Here is a 20,584-nt window from a genome sequence, read left to right on the forward strand (position 1 = left end):
TGGGCATGGTGGTGCGTTCCTATAGTCTCAGCTATTCAGGAGGTTGAGATGGGAGAATCACTTGAACCCAGGAGGCGGAGGTTGCGCTGAGCCAAGATAGCACCACTGCACTCCAGTCTGGATGACAGAGTAAGACCCTGTCTCGAAAAAAAAAAAAAATCGGCCGGGTGCGGTGGCTCACGCCTGTAATCCCAGTACTTTGGGAGGCTGAGGCGGGCAGATCACCTGAGGTCAGAAGTTCGAGACCAGCCTGACCAACATAGAGAAACCCCGTCTCTACTAAAATACAAAAAAATTAGCCAGGCATGGTGGCGCATCCCTATAATCCCAGCTACTCGGGGAGGCTAAGGCAGGAGAATCGCTTGAACCTGGGAGGTGAAGGTTGCTGTGAGCCAAGATCGCGCCATTGCACTCCAGCCTGGGCAACAAGAGTGAAACTCCTTAAAAAAAAAAAAAAAAACCATGTTCTCTTTATGTAATGGGACCTTTTGCTCAGCGGTAATACAGTACTTAGCAGAAATGAAAAATACGGTCTCCATGGTGCATATCCCCTTTTTATTTATTTCATTTATTTATTTATTTATTTATTTATTTATTTATTTATTTCTTTTTTGAGACGGAGTCTGCAAGCTCTGCTTCCCGGGTTCATGCCATTCTCCTGCCCCAGCCTCCTGGGTAGCTGGGACTAGAGGCACCTGCCACCAGGTCCGGCTAATTTGTTTTGTATTTTTAGTTGAGATGGGGCTTCACTGTGTTAGCCAGGATGGTCTTAATCTCTTGACCTCGTGATCCACCCACCTCGGCCTCCCAAAGTGCTGGGATTACAGGCATGAGCCACCGCACCCGGCCTATTTATCATTTTTTTCAGATGGAGTCTTGCTCTGCCTCCCAGGTTCAAGGAATTTTCCTGCCTCAGCCTCCCGAGTAGCTGGAATTACAGACATGCCTCACCACACCCAGCTAATTTTTGTATTTTTAGTAGAGACAGGGTTTCACCATGTTGGCCATGCTGGCCTGCAACTCCTGACCTCAGGTGATCTGCCCTTCTTGGCCTTCCAAAGTGCTGGGATTACAGGCGTGAGCCACCACGCCCGGCCCCACCTTTTTATCTTTTTTTGCTGAACCATTTAAGAATTATCTGCAGACATCCAGATAATATAAAATTATGAGTTCCTAAGCTTTTCTTTATAAGAATTTTGAGCTTTAGCGTAGTGGATTCTTATTTTATATCTAAGAACCCATAATTAAAGAGACAAGTCTCATTGATCTGTGAACTCTTAGCCAGTAAAAAGAAGATAAACAACTGAAATGCAGAGGCAGTCAGTTCATAGATTGACATTTTACTCTTCATGACTTTTGATTTAATTTTGTACTTAAAGACTGGCTTCTGCATTGAAAAATAACTTACATGGTAAGGAATCAGATACTTGACGAAATGTAACTACCACAAACAAGACTATAAACTGTATTATGGTTTTCAGAATTATATGCCATTTTAATTAGAGTAGAAAATTGTAACTGCCTTTATTTCATTTTGTTTTTGAGACAGAGCCTCACTCTCTCGCCCAGGCTGGAGTGCAGTGGTGCGATCTCAACTCACTGCAACCTCTGCTTCCCAGGTTTATGTGATTCTCATGCCTCAGCCTCCCAAGTAACTGAGATTACAGGCATATGCCACCATGCCCGGCTAATGTTTGTATTTTTAGTAGAGACAGTCTTTCCCCATGTTGGCCAAGCTGGTCTCGAACTCCTGGCCTAAAGTGAGTTAGGCCACCTGCCTCGGCCTCCCAAAGTGCTGGGATTACAGGTGTGAGCCACTGCACCCGGGCATAATTGCCTTTAAATAGTAGTTATAAATTATTTCTAGGTTACCTGCAATCTAAATTACTAAAAGTAAACTAGGATTTTAAAAAGATATGCAGACACTCTGATAGGCTGTTCTTCAAGGCAAGGACTAAGCCTAGGTCCACTGGGACATAACAGGTGTTATGGTTAGTGAATAAAGTCTTTGAATAATAGATTTTATCTAACTACAGAGTAAAATTCTGACGGTTTGCTATAGTTCCTTTTCTTGGAAAGTAAATTATCCATGTTCATCATATATAGGCAGTGTGTCTTCTTCCTCTAGGCCATATAACACTATATATCTCAGATTTATTTCTGATTATATAATATATACTACATCTATATAACAATAAAAGAATTGTTCTTTAAACTGAAGTTCCATCTAGAAAATGACTTTTGACCGGGCGCGGTGGCTCACGGCTGTAATCCCAGCACTTTGGGAGCCTGAGGTGGGCAGATCACTTGAGGTCAGGAGTTCGAGACCAGCTTGGCCAACATAGTGGAACCCTGTCTCTACTAAAAATCCAAAAATTATCCGGGCCTGTTGGCGTGCGCCTGTAATTGCAGCTACTTGGGAGGCTGAGGCGGGAGAATCATTTAACCCAGGAGGTGGAGGTTGCAGTGAGCCAAGATCGTGCCATTGTACTCCAGCCTGGGTGACAAGAGTGAAACTCTGTCTCAAAAATAAAAAAAGGAAATGACTTCCTCTTATGAACCTTATCTGTTTTCCGAAGGAAATGTGGGCTAACGGGTTATTACTACTTAACATGCGGCATTTATTTGCTTTTTGCCTCCTTAGCCTTCTTTGTAATTGTTGGTGACATCATTATGGTTGAGTTCATTCTGGATCATATATCCAGTTCTTTTTTGAACAGTTTAATCTTAAAAAAAAATTGCAAGCAAAAACAACACCCATATACCCTTCATCTAAATTTACCAATTGGTAACATTTTATCATGTTTGCTTTGCTAATCTCTGTATTTTTTCTTTCGTTCCTAAACCACTGGAGAGTTATTTGCAGACATCCAGACACTTCAGCTTAATCCCATAAATACTTCAGCTTAATCCTCTAAAACAAGGGCATCTTCTGCATGACCACAATACAACGATCAAATTCAGAAAATTTATATTAATGGAGTATTGTTCTCTAGAGTGATTACAGTCTATATTCTGATTTCCACAGTTGTCCCAGTAATGTCTTTCATAGCTGAAGGAAGGAGGAGGGGATCTTTCTGGTAGTTGCACATTGTTGCCAAAATGAAATTCTTTTTTCTTGGAAGTATCTTCCCTCTAATTCCATACTTGCCAAGCAACTGACACTGATTTACTCTCCCAGAAACACAAATACCAGGATGGGGAGGCTCTATATGAGAGGTAATTACAGTTTCCTAAATTGGCATAATCCCTGTAAATTGACAAATTGAAATTCTTGTCTAAATTTAATTTCATGTGAACCTAATTATCCTTGGCTACTTTTCATCTCTGGATGAATTCATATGCTTTGGGTTGTCAGTGCCAAATTTGTTATGCTTTGTTTAATACGTTCAGACCACAGAGCTGACAGCATCTATTTCTTCTGGTTTGTTTGGTTATACACCAGGTAAGGGATAGTTAATATACAGATGTTTTATATTACTTCAAAATGAATTTGGACCAACAGGGCACAGTGGCTCATGCCTGTAATCCAAGCACTTCGGGAGGCTGAGGCAGGGAGATCACTTAAGCTCAGGAAATGTAACTACCACAGTAGTCGGGTAACATGGGGAGACCCTGTCTCTACAAAAATTTAAAAATTAGCTGGTTGTGTTGGTACGTGCCTGTAGTCCCAGCTACTTGGGCTGACATGAGATGATCGTTTGAGCCCAGGAGGTTGAGGCTATAGTGAGCCATGTTTGTGCCACTGTACTCCAGCTTGGGTAACAAAGCAAGACCCTGTCTCAAAAAACAAAAAAAAAGGAAAGAAGTAAAATAAACTTGGGCTTGCGCAGTGGCTTACACCTGTAATCCCAGCCCTTGGGAAGGCCGAGGCAGGCAGATCACTTGAGGCCAGAAATTCGAGACCAGCCTGGCCAACATGGCGAAACTCCATCTCTACAAAAAATACAAAAATTAGCTGGGCGTGGTGGCACATGCCTGTAATCTCAGCTACTCAGGAGGCTGAGCCACAAGAATTGCTTGAACCCGGGAAGCAGAGTTTGCAGTGAGCCGAGATAGCACCACTACATTCCAGCCTGGGCAACAAAGTGAGACTATCTCAATAAAATAAGATTCACTTAGAGAACAATAAACTTGAAGAAAATGTTCTTGGATTTGCATAGACCACATGCACCATTTCTTTACTTTACATTACTGGGTTGGACAATAGCTTATAATATGCAACAGCATACTCTACAGAATTCAGTTTGCACTATTTTCAAGTTTAGTGCATGATTCCCTTAGGAAAATCAGGAAGTTTAAGTCTTCTATTAGCTTTGGTATAGGCTTTTTATTTATGCATTGCCTCTTTCACAAAGAGACATGTACAATAAAATAGTATAATAAACCTAGGAAAGGTGGACACAAACACAAAACTGCAAAAAGTCAACAAAATTTTAGCTCACAGAGACTGATTATGTATTTTAAACTTGTGTAGGTTCCTTCTTTTTCTTTTTATTATAGACAACTCCAAACATAAAAAAAAAAAGAGTTTAACAAATACCATACATATCGCCCAGCTTCAACAGTTATCTTTTTTTTTTTTTTTTAACCAGGTCTCGGTTTGTAACCCAGGCTAAGGGTACCGTGGCGTGATCTCGGCTTATTGCAACCTCCACCTTCTGGGTTCAAGTGATTCTCATTCCTCAGCCTCTCAAGTGGTGGGGATTTCAGGCATGCACCACCATGTCCAGCTCATTTTTGTATTTTTAGTAGAGATGGGGTTTTGTCATATTGGCCAGGCTGGTCTCGAACTCCTGACAAGGTAATCTGCCTGCCTTGGACTCCCAAAGTGCTGAGATTACAGGTGTGAACCCCCATGCCCAGCCTCAGTTTCAATTTCTTTTTTTTTTTTTTTTTTTTTGAGACAAGAGTCTCACTCTGTTGCCCAGGCTGGAGTGCAGTGGCACGATCTTGGCTCACCACAACCTCCGCCTCCCAGGTTCAAGTGATTCTCCCACCTCAGCCTCCTGAGTAGCTGGGACTACAGGCGTGTGTCACCATGCCTGGCTAATTTTTGTATTTTTAATAGAGATGGAGTTTCACTATGTTGGCCAGGCTGGTCTCGAACTCCTGACCTCATGATCCACTCGCTTCGGCCTCCCAAAGTGCTGGGATTACAGGCGTGAGCCACCATGCCTGGCTGGTTTCAATTTTTGAACAAAGGAGATTAGTTCAAGGGAAGGACTATTATGGCCTCTGCATAAAAATAAGCAAAAGCACCAGCCTGGCCAACTTGGTGAAACCTCATCTCTACTAAAAATACAAAAATTTGCCGGTGTGGTGGTGGGCACCTGTAATCTCAGCTGCTCAGGAGGCTGAGGCAGGAGATCGCTTGAACATGGGAGGCAGAGGTTGCAGTGAGCTGAGATTCCGCCACTGCACTCCAGACTGGGTGACAGAGCAAGACTCTGTCTCAAAAAGAAAAAAAAAAAAAATGGAATGACCAAAAGCAACTTAGTCTGGTAGAAGCAAGATGGAGTCAGTTATGTCAGACTTCCATTACTACTATAATTTCTGCAAAGGCAATTTCAAAATCTATGGTGATTATGGTTAATAGATTATATACACGAAAATTGCTAAGAGAATAAATGTTGAGTATTCTACCACAGGCAAAAATAAGTATGTGAGGTAATATTTATGTTAATTAGCTTGATTTAGCCATTCCACAAGGTATATATATATCAAAAGATTATGTTGTACACCAAAAACAAAAAGGAAAAATTATTTTACTGGAAAACACATTGTGAATATTTTTTTCCTTCCATTAAAGCAAAAGTTGGCCAGGCATGGTGGCTCAGGCCTGTAATCACAGTACTTTGGGATGCCAAGGTGATAGCAGCAGGAGGCAGACAAACCCTAGGCAGACAGGGGCAGATCCCCAGTGAAACCCAAACTTCAAGCCAAAGACAGTTTAAAGCCTAGCTACAAGTCCTGGGTAAGTCCACAGACTGGATTGGGAAACTGTCTTCCTGTTTGGCACACTTTCCTCTGATTGATCCCCACCCTGCACCTGTTTTACATGTATATACCCTTCCCTAATTGGTGTATTACACTGTCGTGCCCACCTTTGAGTGGTGCCTTTGTTTTAGCCTTTTTTTGCTTACCCACAAACCAATCAGCACTCCCTATTCTGAGCACATAAAAGCCCCAGACCCAGCCACACTGAGTGAGAGACCACCTGACTTTGAGTAGGGGACCACCCTCACATCCCGTCTCTACTGAGAGCTGTTTTGTCACTCACTAAAATTCTTCTCCACCCTCGTCACCCTTTATTGTCAGTATAACCTCATTCTTCTTGGACAGGGGATAAGAACTTGGGACCCACCAAGCACGGGTACAAAGAAGGCTGTACACCCTCCACCAGTGGAGAGCAGCTGCCTCATGTGATGGGAAGCAGCAGCAGGGCCAAGCCAGCCCTGGAGCCTTGGGCCAGAGCAGGGCAACAGGACTGATGGTGTTGTTAACATGGCATTGTCCATCAGGCTGCGGACAAAGGGACTAAAAGAGCTAATTTGCATGCCGTAACACCCCCTCTGGGGCTTCAGGGTCATGGGCACCCCTGCCTGGGTGCCACCGTGTTCCCCTCCTCTGGATGCCAGAGTCCACCATGGGAGTCACTTGTGACATGCCTGGTCCAGCTACAAGCCCCACATGGAGCCCATTCCCCTGCCAGCACTTGGAACGGCCAGCCAGACCCCACACTCCCTCACTCACACACCCCGTCCTGCCAGGGGCTAAGCACACAGTAGTGGCAGCTATGGGACCTGCACTGGAGTGCAAGCCAGGTGCAGCCCAGCAGGCTGAGTAGACAGGGTGTCTCCTGCAGCAAGCCCAGGCCTGAGCAAGGCCTGGGCAGGGGAGTTGCCAGCTGGAAATCTCCAGCTGGCAAAGTGACTAAGAAAAATCCTGCATCAAAGGTGGGAGGATCTCTTGAGCACAGGAGTTTGAGACCAGCCTGGGTAACCCCGTCTCTACAAAAAATAAAAAATTAGCTGGTCCCAGTGGTGCCTACCTGTAGTCCCAGCCACTTGGGAGGCTGAGGTGGGAAGATGGCATGAGCCCAGGAGTTCCAGGCTGCAGAGAGTGGCATGCCACCACACTCCAGCCTGTGTGACAGAGTGAGAGCCTGTCTCAAAAAAAATAAAAGAGTTTGATTTCTTTGATGTTAAGTGTCCTCAATGAACAGGAGCCTGACCCACTTTGTTGGTTTTCTTTTCTTTTCTTTTTTTTTTTTTTGAGACAGTCTCGCTCTGTCACCATGCCAGAGTGTAGTGGCGCAATCTTGGCTCACTGCAGCCTCTGCCTCCCAGGTTCAAGCGATTCTCCTGCCTCAGCCTCCCGAGTAGCCAGGACTACAGGTGCATGCCACCATGCCCAGCTAATTTTTGTATTTTTTAGTAGAGATGGGGTTTCACCATGTTGGCCAGGATGGTCTCAATCTCTTGACCTCGTGATCCGCCCACCTCAGCCTTCCAAAATGCTGGGATTACAGGCATAAGCCACTGTGCCCAGCCCTGGTTTCCTTATTGAAAGGCAAAATTTCTTTTACTTACACAATGGGTGAGTGTTACCTTGTTGTTGGGCTGATTAACTGTAGCAGCAATAGAAATGCAAAGAGGTGTGTGGAATGGGGCTATGGGCTCTGAATATAGTCCTCTGTGGATGTCTTTGTGAATGCTGATTACTCATTCAAATGCAGAATATTCTGCTTTTTGCTAGGAGCCGAGAAGTAATAGATTTACAGACCTCTTATTCTTGGTCACCCTTGAGGGTGGAAATAGCTTTATTATAATGCATATAATTCAATACATATTCTCCTGGATTTAAACTCAATCTTCTGGCTAGTGATCCTTAAATTTTTATCTCTAGCTCTGACTTCCCCACTAATTCCTAAATTTGAATTTCCACTGCCTGATTAACATTTTTGATTAGATATCTCAAGCTTAATGTACTCAAAATGGAATTCTGGATTTTCCCCCCACTTTTTTTTTTTTTTTTTTTTTTTGAGACATAGTTTCGCTCCTGTTGCCCAGGCTGGAGTGCAATGGCATGATCTTGGCTCACCACAACCTCCGCCTCCCGGGTTCAAGAGATTCTCCTGCCTCATTCTCCTGGGTAGCTGGGATTACAGGCATGCACCACCACACCCAGCTAATTTTTGTATTTTTGGTAGAGATGGAGTTTCAGTATGTTGGCCAGGCTGGTCTTGAACTTCCGACCTCAGGTGATCCACCCACCTTAGCCTCCCAAAGTGCTGGGATTACAGGCGTGCGCCCCTGCGTCCGGCCAATTTTCCCCCACTTCTGTTCCCCTCCTCAATCCCACCTTGGACTTCCTGGGTACTTGGCACCTCACTTCTCGAATCCCTCATCCATCAGCAATTCCTGTGCACCTTCCCTGTGAGATATTTCCCAGGTGCAGCATGTCTGGTCCAGCTGCAAGCCCCACATGGAGTCCACTCCGGTGCTGGTGCTTGGAACGGCTGGTGCCCCATTCCCTGCTCCATTTCCACTGTGGCCACCGACCCGTTCTCCAGCATCTCTCGCCCTCCCCACTGCAGCAGCCCCCAACTGACTGCCTGCTTTCCCTCTGGCTTCTCTCCTATTAGAATATTCTTCTCACAGCAGATGATCCTAAAACATAAATCGTATCAGTTCACATGCCCTTTAAAAAGTTTCCTCATACTACTCTTAGCGGTGCATAAAGAAAGAAAAACAAACAAAAATTGAAAAACAAAAAAGTTCTGGCGAGGCATGGTGGGTCATGTCTGTAATCACAGCACTTTGGGAGGCTAAAGCAGGAGGATCCCTTGAGGCCAGAAGTTTATGACCAGCACGGGCAACATAGGGAGACCCCATCTCTACAAAAAATAAAGAAAGAAAAACTAAGGCTCGGCACACTGGCTCATGCCTATAATCCCAGCACTTTGGGAGGCCAGGGTGGACAGATCACCTGAGGCCAGGAGTTTGAGACCAGCCTGGCCGACATGGTAAAACCCCATCTCTACTAAAAATACAAAAAATTAGCTGGGCGTGATGGCGCAAACCTGTAGTCCCAGCTGCTTGAGAGGATGAGGCATGAGACTCACTTGAACCCTGGAGGCGGAGGTTGCAGTGAGCCGAGATTGCACCACTGCACTCCAGCCTGGGTGACAGAGTGAGACTCTGTCTAAAAAAATAAATAAATAAATAAATAAAAATTAATTAATTCAATAAATAAAAAGTTTCCACGTACTGATCCATGCTATAACATGGATGAATCTAGAAAACATGACGCTGAATGAAAGAAGCCAGTTTAAAAAGGCTGTGTGTTGTATGACTCTAGTTGTATGAAATGTTCAGAAGAGGCAAATTCATAGAGACAGAAAGCAGGTTAGGGGTTGCCAGGGGCTGGGGCTGCAGCGGGCAGGCGGTGGGTCGGGGAAGGATGGGGAGTGACTGCTGAAAGGGTTTGGGGTTTTCCTTCTGGGGTGAGGAAAAGGTTCTGGAACTGGATAATGATGATAGTTGCACAACATTGAGTGTACTAAATATCACTGAATTGTACACATTAAAATGGCAACTTTTGTTTTGTGAATTTTACCATTTTTTTTTCTAAAAAAGGTTTAATGACTTCTTGTTGCGGTCTTAAAATAGAAGCCAGGGCCGGGAATGGTGGCTTATGCCCATAAGCTGTGCTTTGGGAGGCGGAGGTGGGTGGATTGCTTGAGGTCAGGAGTTCGAGACCAGCCTGGGCAACATGGCAAAACCCTGTCTCTACAAAAAATTAGCCAAGTGTGGTGGCATGCGCCCGTGGTCCCAGCTACTAGGGAGGCTGAGGTGGGAGGATCACTTGTACCCTGGAGGTGGAGGATGCAGTGAGCCGTGATTGCACCACTGCACTCCAGCCTGGGCAATAGAGCTAGACCTTGTCTAAAAAAAAAAAAAAACAAAAACTACAATCCAAATTCCTGACTAAGGCCCACAGAGCACTGCATGATCTCGCCACCCTACCTCCTCTCCTTCTTGTGCTCTGAGCCTTGCTCTACCTGCTCTAAGCTATGGGCTCAGGAAGTGATGCACTAAAGTATGGCGCTTTGGGCTGGGCGCGTAATCCCCACACTTTGGGAGGCCGAGGTGGGCTGATCACAAGGTCAGGAGTTTGAGACCAGCCTGGCTAACATGGTGAAACCCCGTCTCTACTAAAGACACAAAAAATTAGCCGGGCATGATGGCATGCACCTGTAATCTCAGCTACTTGGGAGGCTGAGGCAGCAGAATCACTTGAACCCAGGAGGCGGAGGTTGCAGTGAGCCGAGATTGTGCCATTGCACTCCAGCCTCCAGCCTGGGTGAAAGGGTGAGACTCCATCTCAAAAAAAAAAAAAAAAAAATATGGCACTTTGGCATGCTGAGTATTTTGAACTAATGGAGACTGGAGGCAACCTCAGAACCAAGGTCTCTCTGATCTCCTGCTCACAACCTCTTCCCTAAAACACAAGAAGGGGTCTCTCTGAATTTCCCTTGTCTGCCTAAAGACATGAAACTGCCTTTGCAAAAATTATGACAGTGAGATAAATCTGACATAGTGCCTTCATCTTGCTTCTAACCTCACAAGCTAACTTTTTGCTCATTCATGGGCCTAGGCCAAGCTAACTATGGAAGTTTAGTTTACAGTTTCACTTTAAAAGATGATTAACAGTTCCTTCCCAAAATGAATCCCCTATTTGCTGTGGGACCGAAACCACCTTTGTAAATCTAACAAATTGGCCACAAGGTTGGAATTACAGTTCAGGAGTCATGTTGCCAGAGGTGACCAGATTTGTAACCCACCCCCCAATTGCTCCTATAGATAACATCATTATGATAAAACCTAAGTGTGGTATTTGAGGTATTTTTCCTTTTTTTTTTTTTTTGAGATTGAGTCTCGCTGTGTCACCCAGGCTGGAGTGCAGTGGCGCAATCTCGGCTCACTGCAAGCTCCGCCTCCCGGGTTCATGCCATTCTCCTGCCTCAGCCTCCTGAGTAGCTGGGACTATAGGTGCCCACCACCACGCCCGGCTAATTTTTTGTTTTTTTAGTAGAGACGGGGTTTCACCATGTTAGCCAGGATGGTCTTGATCTCCTGACCTCCTGATCCACCCACCTCGGCCTCCCAAAGTGCTGGGATTACAGGCGTGAGCCACCGTGCCCAGCCTGAGGTATTTTTCAGACCTTGCATTCTGATGGACCAGCTAGCACCACCTGAACCAGTAACCTATACCAAGAAACTGACTCAACCAGTCCTGCCACCCCACTCTGGAACTGACTCAGGGCAAGAAGACACCTTCAACCCCCTGTGATTTCATTGCAGACCCAACCAGTCAGCATTACCTGTTCCCTAGCCCCCTGCTCGCCAAACAATTCTTGAAAAATCCCAGCCTCTGAATTCTCAGAGGAGTGGATTGAGAATTATCTGCTGTCCTTCCACTCGGCTGCCTTGCAATCATTAAATTCTTTCTCTGCTGTAACACTCCTGCTGTTCTCATTGTATTGGCTTTTCCAGGCAGCAGGCAGGAAGAACCCATTGGGCAATTACAGATAGACTTTCTAGAAGGAATAGAATTGTCATGAATCCCCTCCCTAGGAGTCTCATCAACAAGAGAAGATTAACTGTATCATAGGAGAGACTGAAGGTTGACCCCACACCTAGAGTTCATCACAGACTATCACCTGTTCTTCTGAGGGCTGCTGCAAGAGAACTTCTATTACCTGCGAGATCTTTTATCTGCATAACAAGACAACCTCTGCTCACCATGCATTTCCTCTCCTCACCCTCTCATAACTTGTCACCACTACTCCCCCAGAAGCCACAGGCCCCTCTATTGCTTTCAGTAGCTACAGTCTTATATTTTGGGACTCACCTGCACAAGAAGGTAATTAAAATGATTTTTCTCCTATTAATATATCCATTGTCAGTTTATTTCAGAGACTCAATTTTTTTTTTTTTTTTTTTTGAGATGAAGTCTTGCTCTGTTACCCAGGCTGGAGTGAAGTGATGCAATCTTGGCTCACTGCAATCTCCACCCCACTGGGTTCAAGCAATTCTTGTGCCTCAGCCTCCCAAGTAGTTGGCTTGTGCCTCAGCTCCCAAGTAGCACATGTGACAACACCCGGCTAATTTTTGTATTTCTAGTAGAGATGGCGGGTTTCGCCACTTTGGAAGGCCAAGGCAGGTGGATCACTTGACGTCAGGAGTTTGAGACCAGGCTGGCCAACATGGCGAAACCCTGTGTCTACTAAAAATACAAAAATTAGCCGAGTGTGGTGGCGCGTGCCTGTAATCCCAGCTACCCAGAAGGCTGAGGCAGGAGAATCTCCTGAACCCAGGAGGCGAAGGTTTCAGTAAGCTGAGATCACGCCTCTGCAGTCCAGCCTGGGCGGCGGAGGGCGACTCCGTCTCAAAATAAAATAAATAAATAAATATATCTGTGCATGTAGAATAAATGAAGTTTTAAAAATAAAAAATACAAAACACTTCCTTTGTACCTTTTTTTTTTTTTTTTTTTTTGAGATAGAGTCTCACTCTGTCATCCAGGCTAGAGTGCTGTGGTACAATCTCAGCTCACTGTAACCTCTGCCTCCCGGGTTCAAGCAATTCTTCTGCCTCGGCCACCTTAGTAGCTGGGATTACAGGTGTGCACCACCATACCTGGCTAATTTTTGTATTTTCAGTAGAGATGGCGTTTCATCATGTTGGCCAGGCTGGTCTCGACCTCCTGACTTCAAGTGATCCTCCTGCCTTGGCCTCCCACGGTGCTGGGATTACAGGTGTAAGCCACCTTGCCTGGCTCCTTTGTAAATGTTAATGGAGAAATATATATATATACTACCTATGTAAGAGATCTTAAATCTCTTAATGCAAGGCATTTTTTTGTATTTGGCCAGGAACTGGAGAAAGTGTGTTTGTCAACCAGACATTGGGCAAGAGACTAACCAGTGCTCAAGACCTGGCTTGAAGCTGCTGCTAATATATAGAAGTTAAAACTTGGCCTGCCTCTGAAGAAGGTGCAGCCTCTGCAGGAGCAAAAGTCTTTTAGCACAAGGGGTAATTCAGGAAAAGTACAAATGTTTACAGGCCTCATTTTTTTTTTTTTTGAGACGGAGTTTTGCTCTTGTCACCCAGGCTGGAGTACGGTGGCACAATCTCGGCTCACTGCAACCTCTGCCTCCTGGGTTCAAGAGATTCTCCTGCCTCAGCCTCCTGAGTAGCTGGGATTACAAGTGCCTGCCACCACTCCTGGCCAATTTTTGTATTTTTAGTAGAGATGGGGTTTCGCTATGCTGGCCAGGCTTGTCTCAAACTCCTGACCTCAGGTGATCCACCTGCCTTGGCCTCCCAAAGTGCTGTGATTACAGGAGTGAGCCACCACGCCTGGCCTACAGGCTTCATTTTTTATTCCTCAGTCAAAATGACATGAGCTTTATTGCATCTTATGAAAAGAGAAAGATACAGTGAGATGACCTACCTTCTTAACTAGAAGATTTCAGCAAAGAAATCATTACCCCTTGTTACCAAGAAAACATCTGGGTCTGTCCTGAGCAAGCAGCATTCTAAACTTCTTACCTTGTTTTTAGATAGTGCTTTAGTTCATCAAGTGACCTTCCATGCATTAGTTCATCTTGTCTTTGAATTCATTTCTGTGGGTAGGTATTACTTTTTTCTTTCTTTGAGACAGAGGCTTGCTCTGTCGCCCAGGCTAGAGTGCAACAGCGTGATCTCCTCTGCCTCCTGGGTCAAGTAATTCTCCTGCCTCAGCCTCCCAAGTAGCTAGGATTACAGGAACCCACCATCACACCCAGCTAATTTTTTGCCTTTTTAGTAGAAATGGGGTTTCACCATGTTGGCCAGGCTGGTCTTGAACTCCTGACTTCAGGTGATCCACCCACCTCAGCTTCCCAAAGTGCTGGGATTACAGGCGTGAGCCAGCACACCTGGCCAGTATTACTATTATTTAAAAAGTGCTTAGAGGCAGTGTCTTGCTCTATTGCCCCAACTGAATTGCAGTGATGTGATCGTAGCTCACTACAGCCTCAAAATCCTAGGCTCCAGTGATCCTCCCACCTCAGCCTCCCAAGTAGCTAGGACCACAGGTGCACACCACTACGCTCAGGTATAAATACATATATATATATATTTTTTAGAGATAGGGTCTCACTGTGTTGTCCAGGGTGGTCTTGAACTTTTGGCCTCAAGTCATCCTCCCACCTCGGCCTCCCAAGTTGCTAGGACCACAGGTACACACCACCACATCCAGGTTTTTGGTTTTTTTTTTTGGAAACAGGGTCTCACTATGTTGCCCAGGCTGGCATTGAACTTCTGTCCTCAAGTGGTCCTCCTACCTTGGCCTCCCAAAGTGCTGGGATTACAGGTGTCACTGTTATTCTCACTTTGCAGATGGGGAAACCGAGGCTCAGAGAGACCATATGATTTGCCTAGAATCACAGAGCAAATTAGCTATAGCACAAGGGCCGAATGTGTTCAAACTCAACTTTGAGCAAGTTGCTTGGCTTCACCAAGCCTCCCTTTCTTTGCTTCCCTCCAATCCTTTCCACGTACCTCAGAGATTACAAAGCAAAATGAAATGAAATAATGCGAGCAAAGTACCTGGCTCTGGTCATATATCTTGAATCTAGATTTGCTATTGTGATTTTTCCATTTAGTAAAACTGACACAGCCCTTCCGAGGTTGCGCATAATAGACTGAGAGAGGACTGGCAGCTCTTTCTCTTTTGTTCTGCATCTACGTTTCCTGAAAGGCCAGAGAACTGAGGGCTGGGATCTCAGGACCAGAACATCTGTAAATCTGGGTCTTCCCAGCTTCTTCCTGTGTGTTTTTCATACCACACACGTGCTCACACACACACACAGATGCTTGTGCAAAGGAATTTCCAACTTGGACAGAGCGAAAGGAATGTATATTGAGGCCCACGATAGCCAGAAAAATAATCTGGCCTGGCCCTATTCCCAGGGCCAGGCATCCCCGATGTCATCCACATGAGTCCACACCCAGTCACCCCCTGACCTACTGCCTGCCCAGCAGCTCCACGGCTCTCCCGGAGCCACCCTCTTTTGGGACAGGGTGTACATTGGCTAGACTCAAAGGGCAGGAGGTGACAGGCCCCAGAGAGGAGAGGAAGGAAGGGAGGCCCTCTCCCTAACACACTGCAGGCTAATCCCCTGGACCACAGCACTTCAGCCAAGAAGCTCTGCTCACCACACCCTTGCAATGGGTAGTGGGAAATTAAAGCTGTTCCAGAGATAAAGCAGCTCCCAAACCCTTGTTTACCTTGTAGGCAAATGAGGATTATCTCTGTTCTCTACTTTGCCTATATGACCATAGCAACCAGGTGTCTTTCAACTTTTCGGTTTCTCAAAGCCTCGAGCCTCTTAATAAGGAGCAGCTAATCTGGAGGCACTTTCTTGTTCTTATCCACACCGAACACTCTCTGCCCTGTGCCATGGCTGTTTCCCTCGACAGTAACTGTAGACCCCGCTCTTTCACATAAAATGAGCCCAGTGATTTCATTTTACCTTTTAGAAACTATCACTGAATGGCCAGGCATGGTGGCTCACGCCTGTAATCCCAGCACTTTGGGAGGCCGAGGCAGGCAGGTGACAAGGTCAAGAGTTCGAGACCAGCCTGGCCACCATGGTGAAACACTGTCTCTACTAAAAATACAAAAATTAGGCCAGGCGCGGTGGCTCACGCCTGTAATCCCAGCACTTTGGGAGGCTGAGGTGGGTGGATCACGAGGTCAGGAGATCGAGACCATCCTGGCTAACATGATGAAACCCCGTCTCTACTAACAAAAATACAAAAAATTAGCCGGGTGTGGTGGCGGGCGCCTGTAGTCCCAGCTACTTGGGAAGCTGAGGCAGGAGAATGGTGTGAACCCGGGAGGCGGAGCTTGCAGTGAGCCGAGATGGCGCCACTGCACCTCCAGCCTGGGTGGCAAAGCGAGACTCCGTCTCAAAATAAATAAATAAATACATACATACATAAAAATAAAAATACAAAAATTAGCTGGGCATGGTGGTGGGTGCCTGTAATATCAGTTACTCGGGAGCCTGAGGCAGGAGAATTGCTTGAACCCGGGAAGCAGAGGTTGCAGTGAGCCGAGATCGCGCCCCTGCACTCCAGCCTGGGCAACAGAGCAAGACTCCGTCTCAGGTAAAAAAAAAAAAAAGAAAAGAAAGAAAGAAAGAAAGAAACCATCACTGAGAGAACTCTATAGAGTTTAGGCCACTTAAACACTGGTTTATAAAATGAAAAAACTATTTTAAATAAGTATACCTGTGCATATGAATATTACAATGCAATATTCTCTTTCTATGGATTACTGCCTTGTGAATGAATCAGTGTTTCACTACAAAAGGGGGCTGGACAATATGCATGCCTGAACTTTCCTAACTGATATCATTTTGCTTTAAGGCCAACCTATCATCTCAAAATAATTTTAATTTAATGTTTAAAAAAAGAATTTAGCATAAGATGATAGAGACGGAGAACAAAAGAAAAAAATAATTTAGGTTTTCTACTACAAAGAAATCACAAGGGTATAATAGAGAGAGGGAAGGATAACCTATGCATTAGAAGAAACTTAAAAGCCATATCAGCCAGGCACTGTGGCTCATGTAACCCCAGATAGGGGTGCTAAGGTGGGAGGATCAATTGAGACCAGGAGTTCAAGATCAGCTTGAACAACATAGCAAGACTCCATCTCTAAAAAAAAATTAAAAATGCGGCAGGGCACAGTGGCTCACGCCTGTAATCCCAGCACTTTGGGAGGCTGAGGCGGACGGATCACGAGGTCAGGAGATCGAGACCATCCTGGCTAACATGGTGAAACCCCGTCTCTACTAAAAATACAAAAAAAAAAATTAGCCTGGCGTGGTGGCGGGCGCCTGTAGTCCCAGCTGGTCAGGAGGCTGAGGCAGGAGAATGGCGTGAACCCGGGAGGCGGAGCTTGTAGTGAGCCGAGATCGCGCCACTGCACTCCAGCCCGGGCAACAGAGCAAGACTCCGTCTCAAAAATAAATAAATAAATAAATAAATAAATAAAAACAAAAATGCTTTTTAATTAAAAAAAAGGACATAACCAATTGCAATATGGAAACTTTATTTGTATCTTAAACAACAAATCTTTAAAAATGTCTGACTTATGAAACAAACAGAAAGTTGATTTCCTTTTTTTTCTTTTCTTTGCTTTTTTACCCCCCGCCCCCAGAGTCTCACTCCATAGTCCAGGCTGGAGTGCAGTGGCGTGATCTTGGCTCACTGCAACCTCTGCCTCCCGGGTTCAAGTGATTCGCCTGCCTCAGCCTCCTGAGTAGCGGGGATTACAGGTGCGTGCCACGATGCCTGGCTAATTTTTGTATTTTTAGTAGAAACGGGATTTTGCCATGTTGACCAGGTTGGTCTCCAACTTCTGACCTCAGGTGATCCGCCTGCCTCGGCCTCCCAAAGTGCTATGATTACAGGTGTTAGCCACGGCACCCAGCCATCTTTTTTTTTTTTTTAAATAACTGTTTCAATGAGACAGTATCTTACTTCTGGAATCTTCACAGAGAAACAAAAGAGAGAGAGACGTATTTTGCTCTGTCACCTAGGCTAGAGTGTAGTGGTGTGATCACAGCTCACGGTAACCTTGAACTCCTTGGCTCAAGGGATCCTCCTGCCTCGGCCTCCACCCTTCTTAGCCTCCCCTGTGCCACCATGCCTGGCTTTTTTCTACATTTTGTAGAGACACGTTCTCCAAATGTTGCCCAGGCTGGTCTCAAACTCCTGGCCTCAAGTGATCCTCCTGCCTCCACTTCCCAAAGCACTGGGATTATGGGTGTGAGCCAACTCGCACAGCCAGAATGTGCATTTTTAACAAAATTCCCAGAGTATGAGAGACAGATTTCTTCAGGGAGGTCACATGCAACTTAGTGTTGGCATTTTCATACACTGTTGTTATATAGTCTTTCTGGAGGATGACTTATCAATATGCTTCAAAAACCTTACAGTGCAGCCAGGCGCAGTAGCTCATGCCTGTAATCCCAGCACTTTAGGATGCCAAGGTGGGTGGATCACCCAAGGTCAGGAGTTTGAGACCAGCCTGACCAACATGGTGAAACCCCCTCTCTACTAAAAATACAAAATTAGCTGAGCATGGTGGCGCGCACCTGTAGTCCCAGTTACTCAGAAGGCTGAGACAGGAGAACCGCTTGAACACGGGAAGCAGAGGTTGCAGTGAGCCAAGATCGCGCCATTGCACTCCAGCCTGGGTGATAGAGCGAGACTCCATCTCAAAAAAAAAAAAAAAAAATTAGCCAGGTGTGGTGGCATGTGTGTGCCTGTAGTCCCAGCTACTCAGAAGGCTAAGCAGGAGAATCACTTGAACTTGGGAGCCGGGGGTTGCAGTGGGCAAAGATCATGCCACTGCACTCCAGCCTCGGTAAAAGACCAAGACTCCATCTAAAAAAAAAAAAAAACCTTACAGTGCATATATGCTTTAATCCAACAATTGCATTTCAAGGAATTTATCAGAGATCTGTACAAAGATACATGTGACAAGGGTGTCCATCATGGTGTTCCTTATAGTAGCAAAAAGTGTAAGCTAAATAGCCAATAATAGGGGAGTAATTCAGTAATTTATATGAAGAAATTATATGCAATCTTTAAAACTTATGTTGTAAGGTTATTTATTAGCATGGGAAAATATACATCATATATTTAATGGAAATAAACAGGCTTTAAAACAGTTTATGGATTCTGATACTATTTACTAATGATACTATTTATACATGGAAAAATACTTTACATCCTGATTATTTTGATAGGTAGCATTATGGGTGATTTTCTTCTTCTTCTTTTTTTTTTTTTTTTGAGACGGAGTCTCACTCTGTCGCCCAGGCTGGAGTGCAATGGCGTGATCTTGGCTCACTGCAACCTCCGCCTCCTGGGTTCAAGCCATTCTCCTGCCTCAGCCTCCCGAGTAGCTGGGATTACAGGCGCCACCACCATGCCCGGCTAATTTTTTGTATTTTTAGTAGAGATGAGGGTTCACTATGTTGGCCAGGCTGGTCTCGAACTTCTGACTTCGTGATCTGCCCACCTCGGCCTCCCAAAGTGCTAGGATTACAGGTGTGAGCCACTGTGCCCGGCCTTATGGGTGATTTTCTTTGTGTTTTCTGTTCCCTAAATGTTAGACACAATAGTTATTTCCTATTGTAATTAAGAGAACAACTATTCTCTATGTTTTGTTTTTTTAAAAAAAGGTGTAAGGAAGCAGCGCAATTTACAACAAAAACTATTCTCTTAACACGGGAAACAAAAGAAAATGAGGAAATGTTCCCTTCGGATAATTTATCATTTCCCTTCCCTTAATTAATTAATTAATTAATTATTTTTGAAATGGAGTCTCACTCTGTTGCCCAGGCTGGAGTGCAGTTGTGCAATCTCAGCTCACTTCAACTTCTGCCTCCCAGGTTCAAGCAATTCTCTTTCCTCAGCCTCCTGAGTAGCTGGAATTACAGAATGTGTGCCACCACACCCGGCTAAATTTTTGTATTTTTAGTAGAGACAGGGTTTCGCCATATTGGCCAGGCTGGTCTTGATCTCCTAGCCTGAAGTGATCCACCTGCCTCGGCCTCTCAAAGTGCTGGGATTACAGGTGTGAGGCACCGCACCCGGCCAGGGAATCACTTGTTCTATGAAGCAGAAGAAAATCTCCTGAATCTGTGTCTTTATTTTATTGATAAGTCAGCCAAAGAGTTTTAACCTGATCTTCACAAAGACTGACTGGGAGACGTGGCCCAGGGTCCAGGTGGGCCTGATGGGCTTAATAAACTCTGGGCTTTGGAAGGACAAGTGGGTACATCTGAGGAAACCTGCAGAAAAAAGGGCCTTGGGAATGTCATCATTCCCAAGATAGTTTGCTGAGAAGCCCCTGTCTTCACACATTTGGACAGTGTTTAGCTAATGCTGGAGGACAGGCTGGCCACACTGCCATCTCAGCTTTCCTAAACCCACGGCAGCTCCCAGTGGCAACCCAAGGTTAGGGAAGCCCAAGAGGAATGAGGCAGGCATTGGAGAAAAGCCCTGAGCCCTGTGAGGGTCACCATCAGTAGCAAACATTTATGGGATGCCTGGTGTACAAGTAAGGCATGCAGAGCCAAGTTGGAGTTTCACCTTTGCCATTAGCTAGCAGCATGATTTGAATAAATGGCTCAAACGTTCCTTTGGTCCTGTTGTCCTCATCACCAGCAAGGCCAGGCGGCTGTCCTCCACAACCTCCAATCCATCTGCTCTTCTCCATCCATCCCCCTTGATATGGTTTGGCTGTGTCTCCACCCAAATCTCATCTTGAATTGTAGCTCCTATAATTTTCACGTGTTATGGGAGGGACCCAATGGGAGATAGTTGAATCATGGGGGCGGTTTCCCCCATACTGTTCTCGTGGTAGTGAAAAAGTCTCATGAGATCTCATGGTTTTATAAGTGGAAACCCCTTTCACTGTCTTCGTCTGGTGCCATGTA

General features: G+C 45.3%; 5 annotated features.

Moving 5' to 3' along the window:
* Window positions 2,482-2,776: a silencer, noted in NCBI's record as "tiled region #6571; HepG2 Repressive non-DNase unmatched - State 15:Elon". NCBI's record gives its function as "represses a minimal TATA promoter and a strong SV40 promoter by Sharpr-MPRA in HepG2 cells {active_cell/tissue: HepG2}" and the evidence as "EXISTENCE:reporter gene assay evidence [ECO:0000049][PMID:27701403]".
* Window positions 6,886-7,665: an enhancer, noted in NCBI's record as "OCT4-NANOG-H3K27ac-H3K4me1 hESC enhancer chr17:65747753-65748532 (GRCh37/hg19 assembly coordinates)". NCBI's record gives its function as "activates a minimal SCP1, AML or CMV promoter by ChIP-STARR-seq in naive and primed H9 embryonic stem cells {active_cell/tissue: H9 hESC(naive and primed)}" and the evidence as "EXISTENCE:reporter gene assay evidence [ECO:0000049][PMID:30033119]".
* Window positions 7,666-8,445: an enhancer, noted in NCBI's record as "OCT4-NANOG-H3K27ac-H3K4me1 hESC enhancer chr17:65748533-65749312 (GRCh37/hg19 assembly coordinates)". NCBI's record gives its function as "activates a minimal SCP1, AML or CMV promoter by ChIP-STARR-seq in naive and primed H9 embryonic stem cells {active_cell/tissue: H9 hESC(naive and primed)}" and the evidence as "EXISTENCE:reporter gene assay evidence [ECO:0000049][PMID:30033119]".
* Window positions 7,666-8,556: a biological region, named in NCBI's record as "Sharpr-MPRA regulatory region 8992".
* Window positions 8,262-8,556: a silencer, noted in NCBI's record as "tiled region #8992; HepG2 Repressive non-DNase unmatched - State 17:Gen3', and K562 Repressive non-DNase unmatched - State 15:Elon". NCBI's record gives its function as "represses a minimal TATA promoter and a strong SV40 promoter by Sharpr-MPRA in HepG2 and K562 cells {active_cell/tissue: HepG2 | K562}" and the evidence as "EXISTENCE:reporter gene assay evidence [ECO:0000049][PMID:27701403]".

This window comes from Homo sapiens, chromosome 17 (genome assembly GCF_000001405.40).
Source record: "Homo sapiens chromosome 17, GRCh38.p14 Primary Assembly".
NCBI lineage: Eukaryota > Metazoa > Chordata > Mammalia > Primates > Hominidae > Homo > Homo sapiens.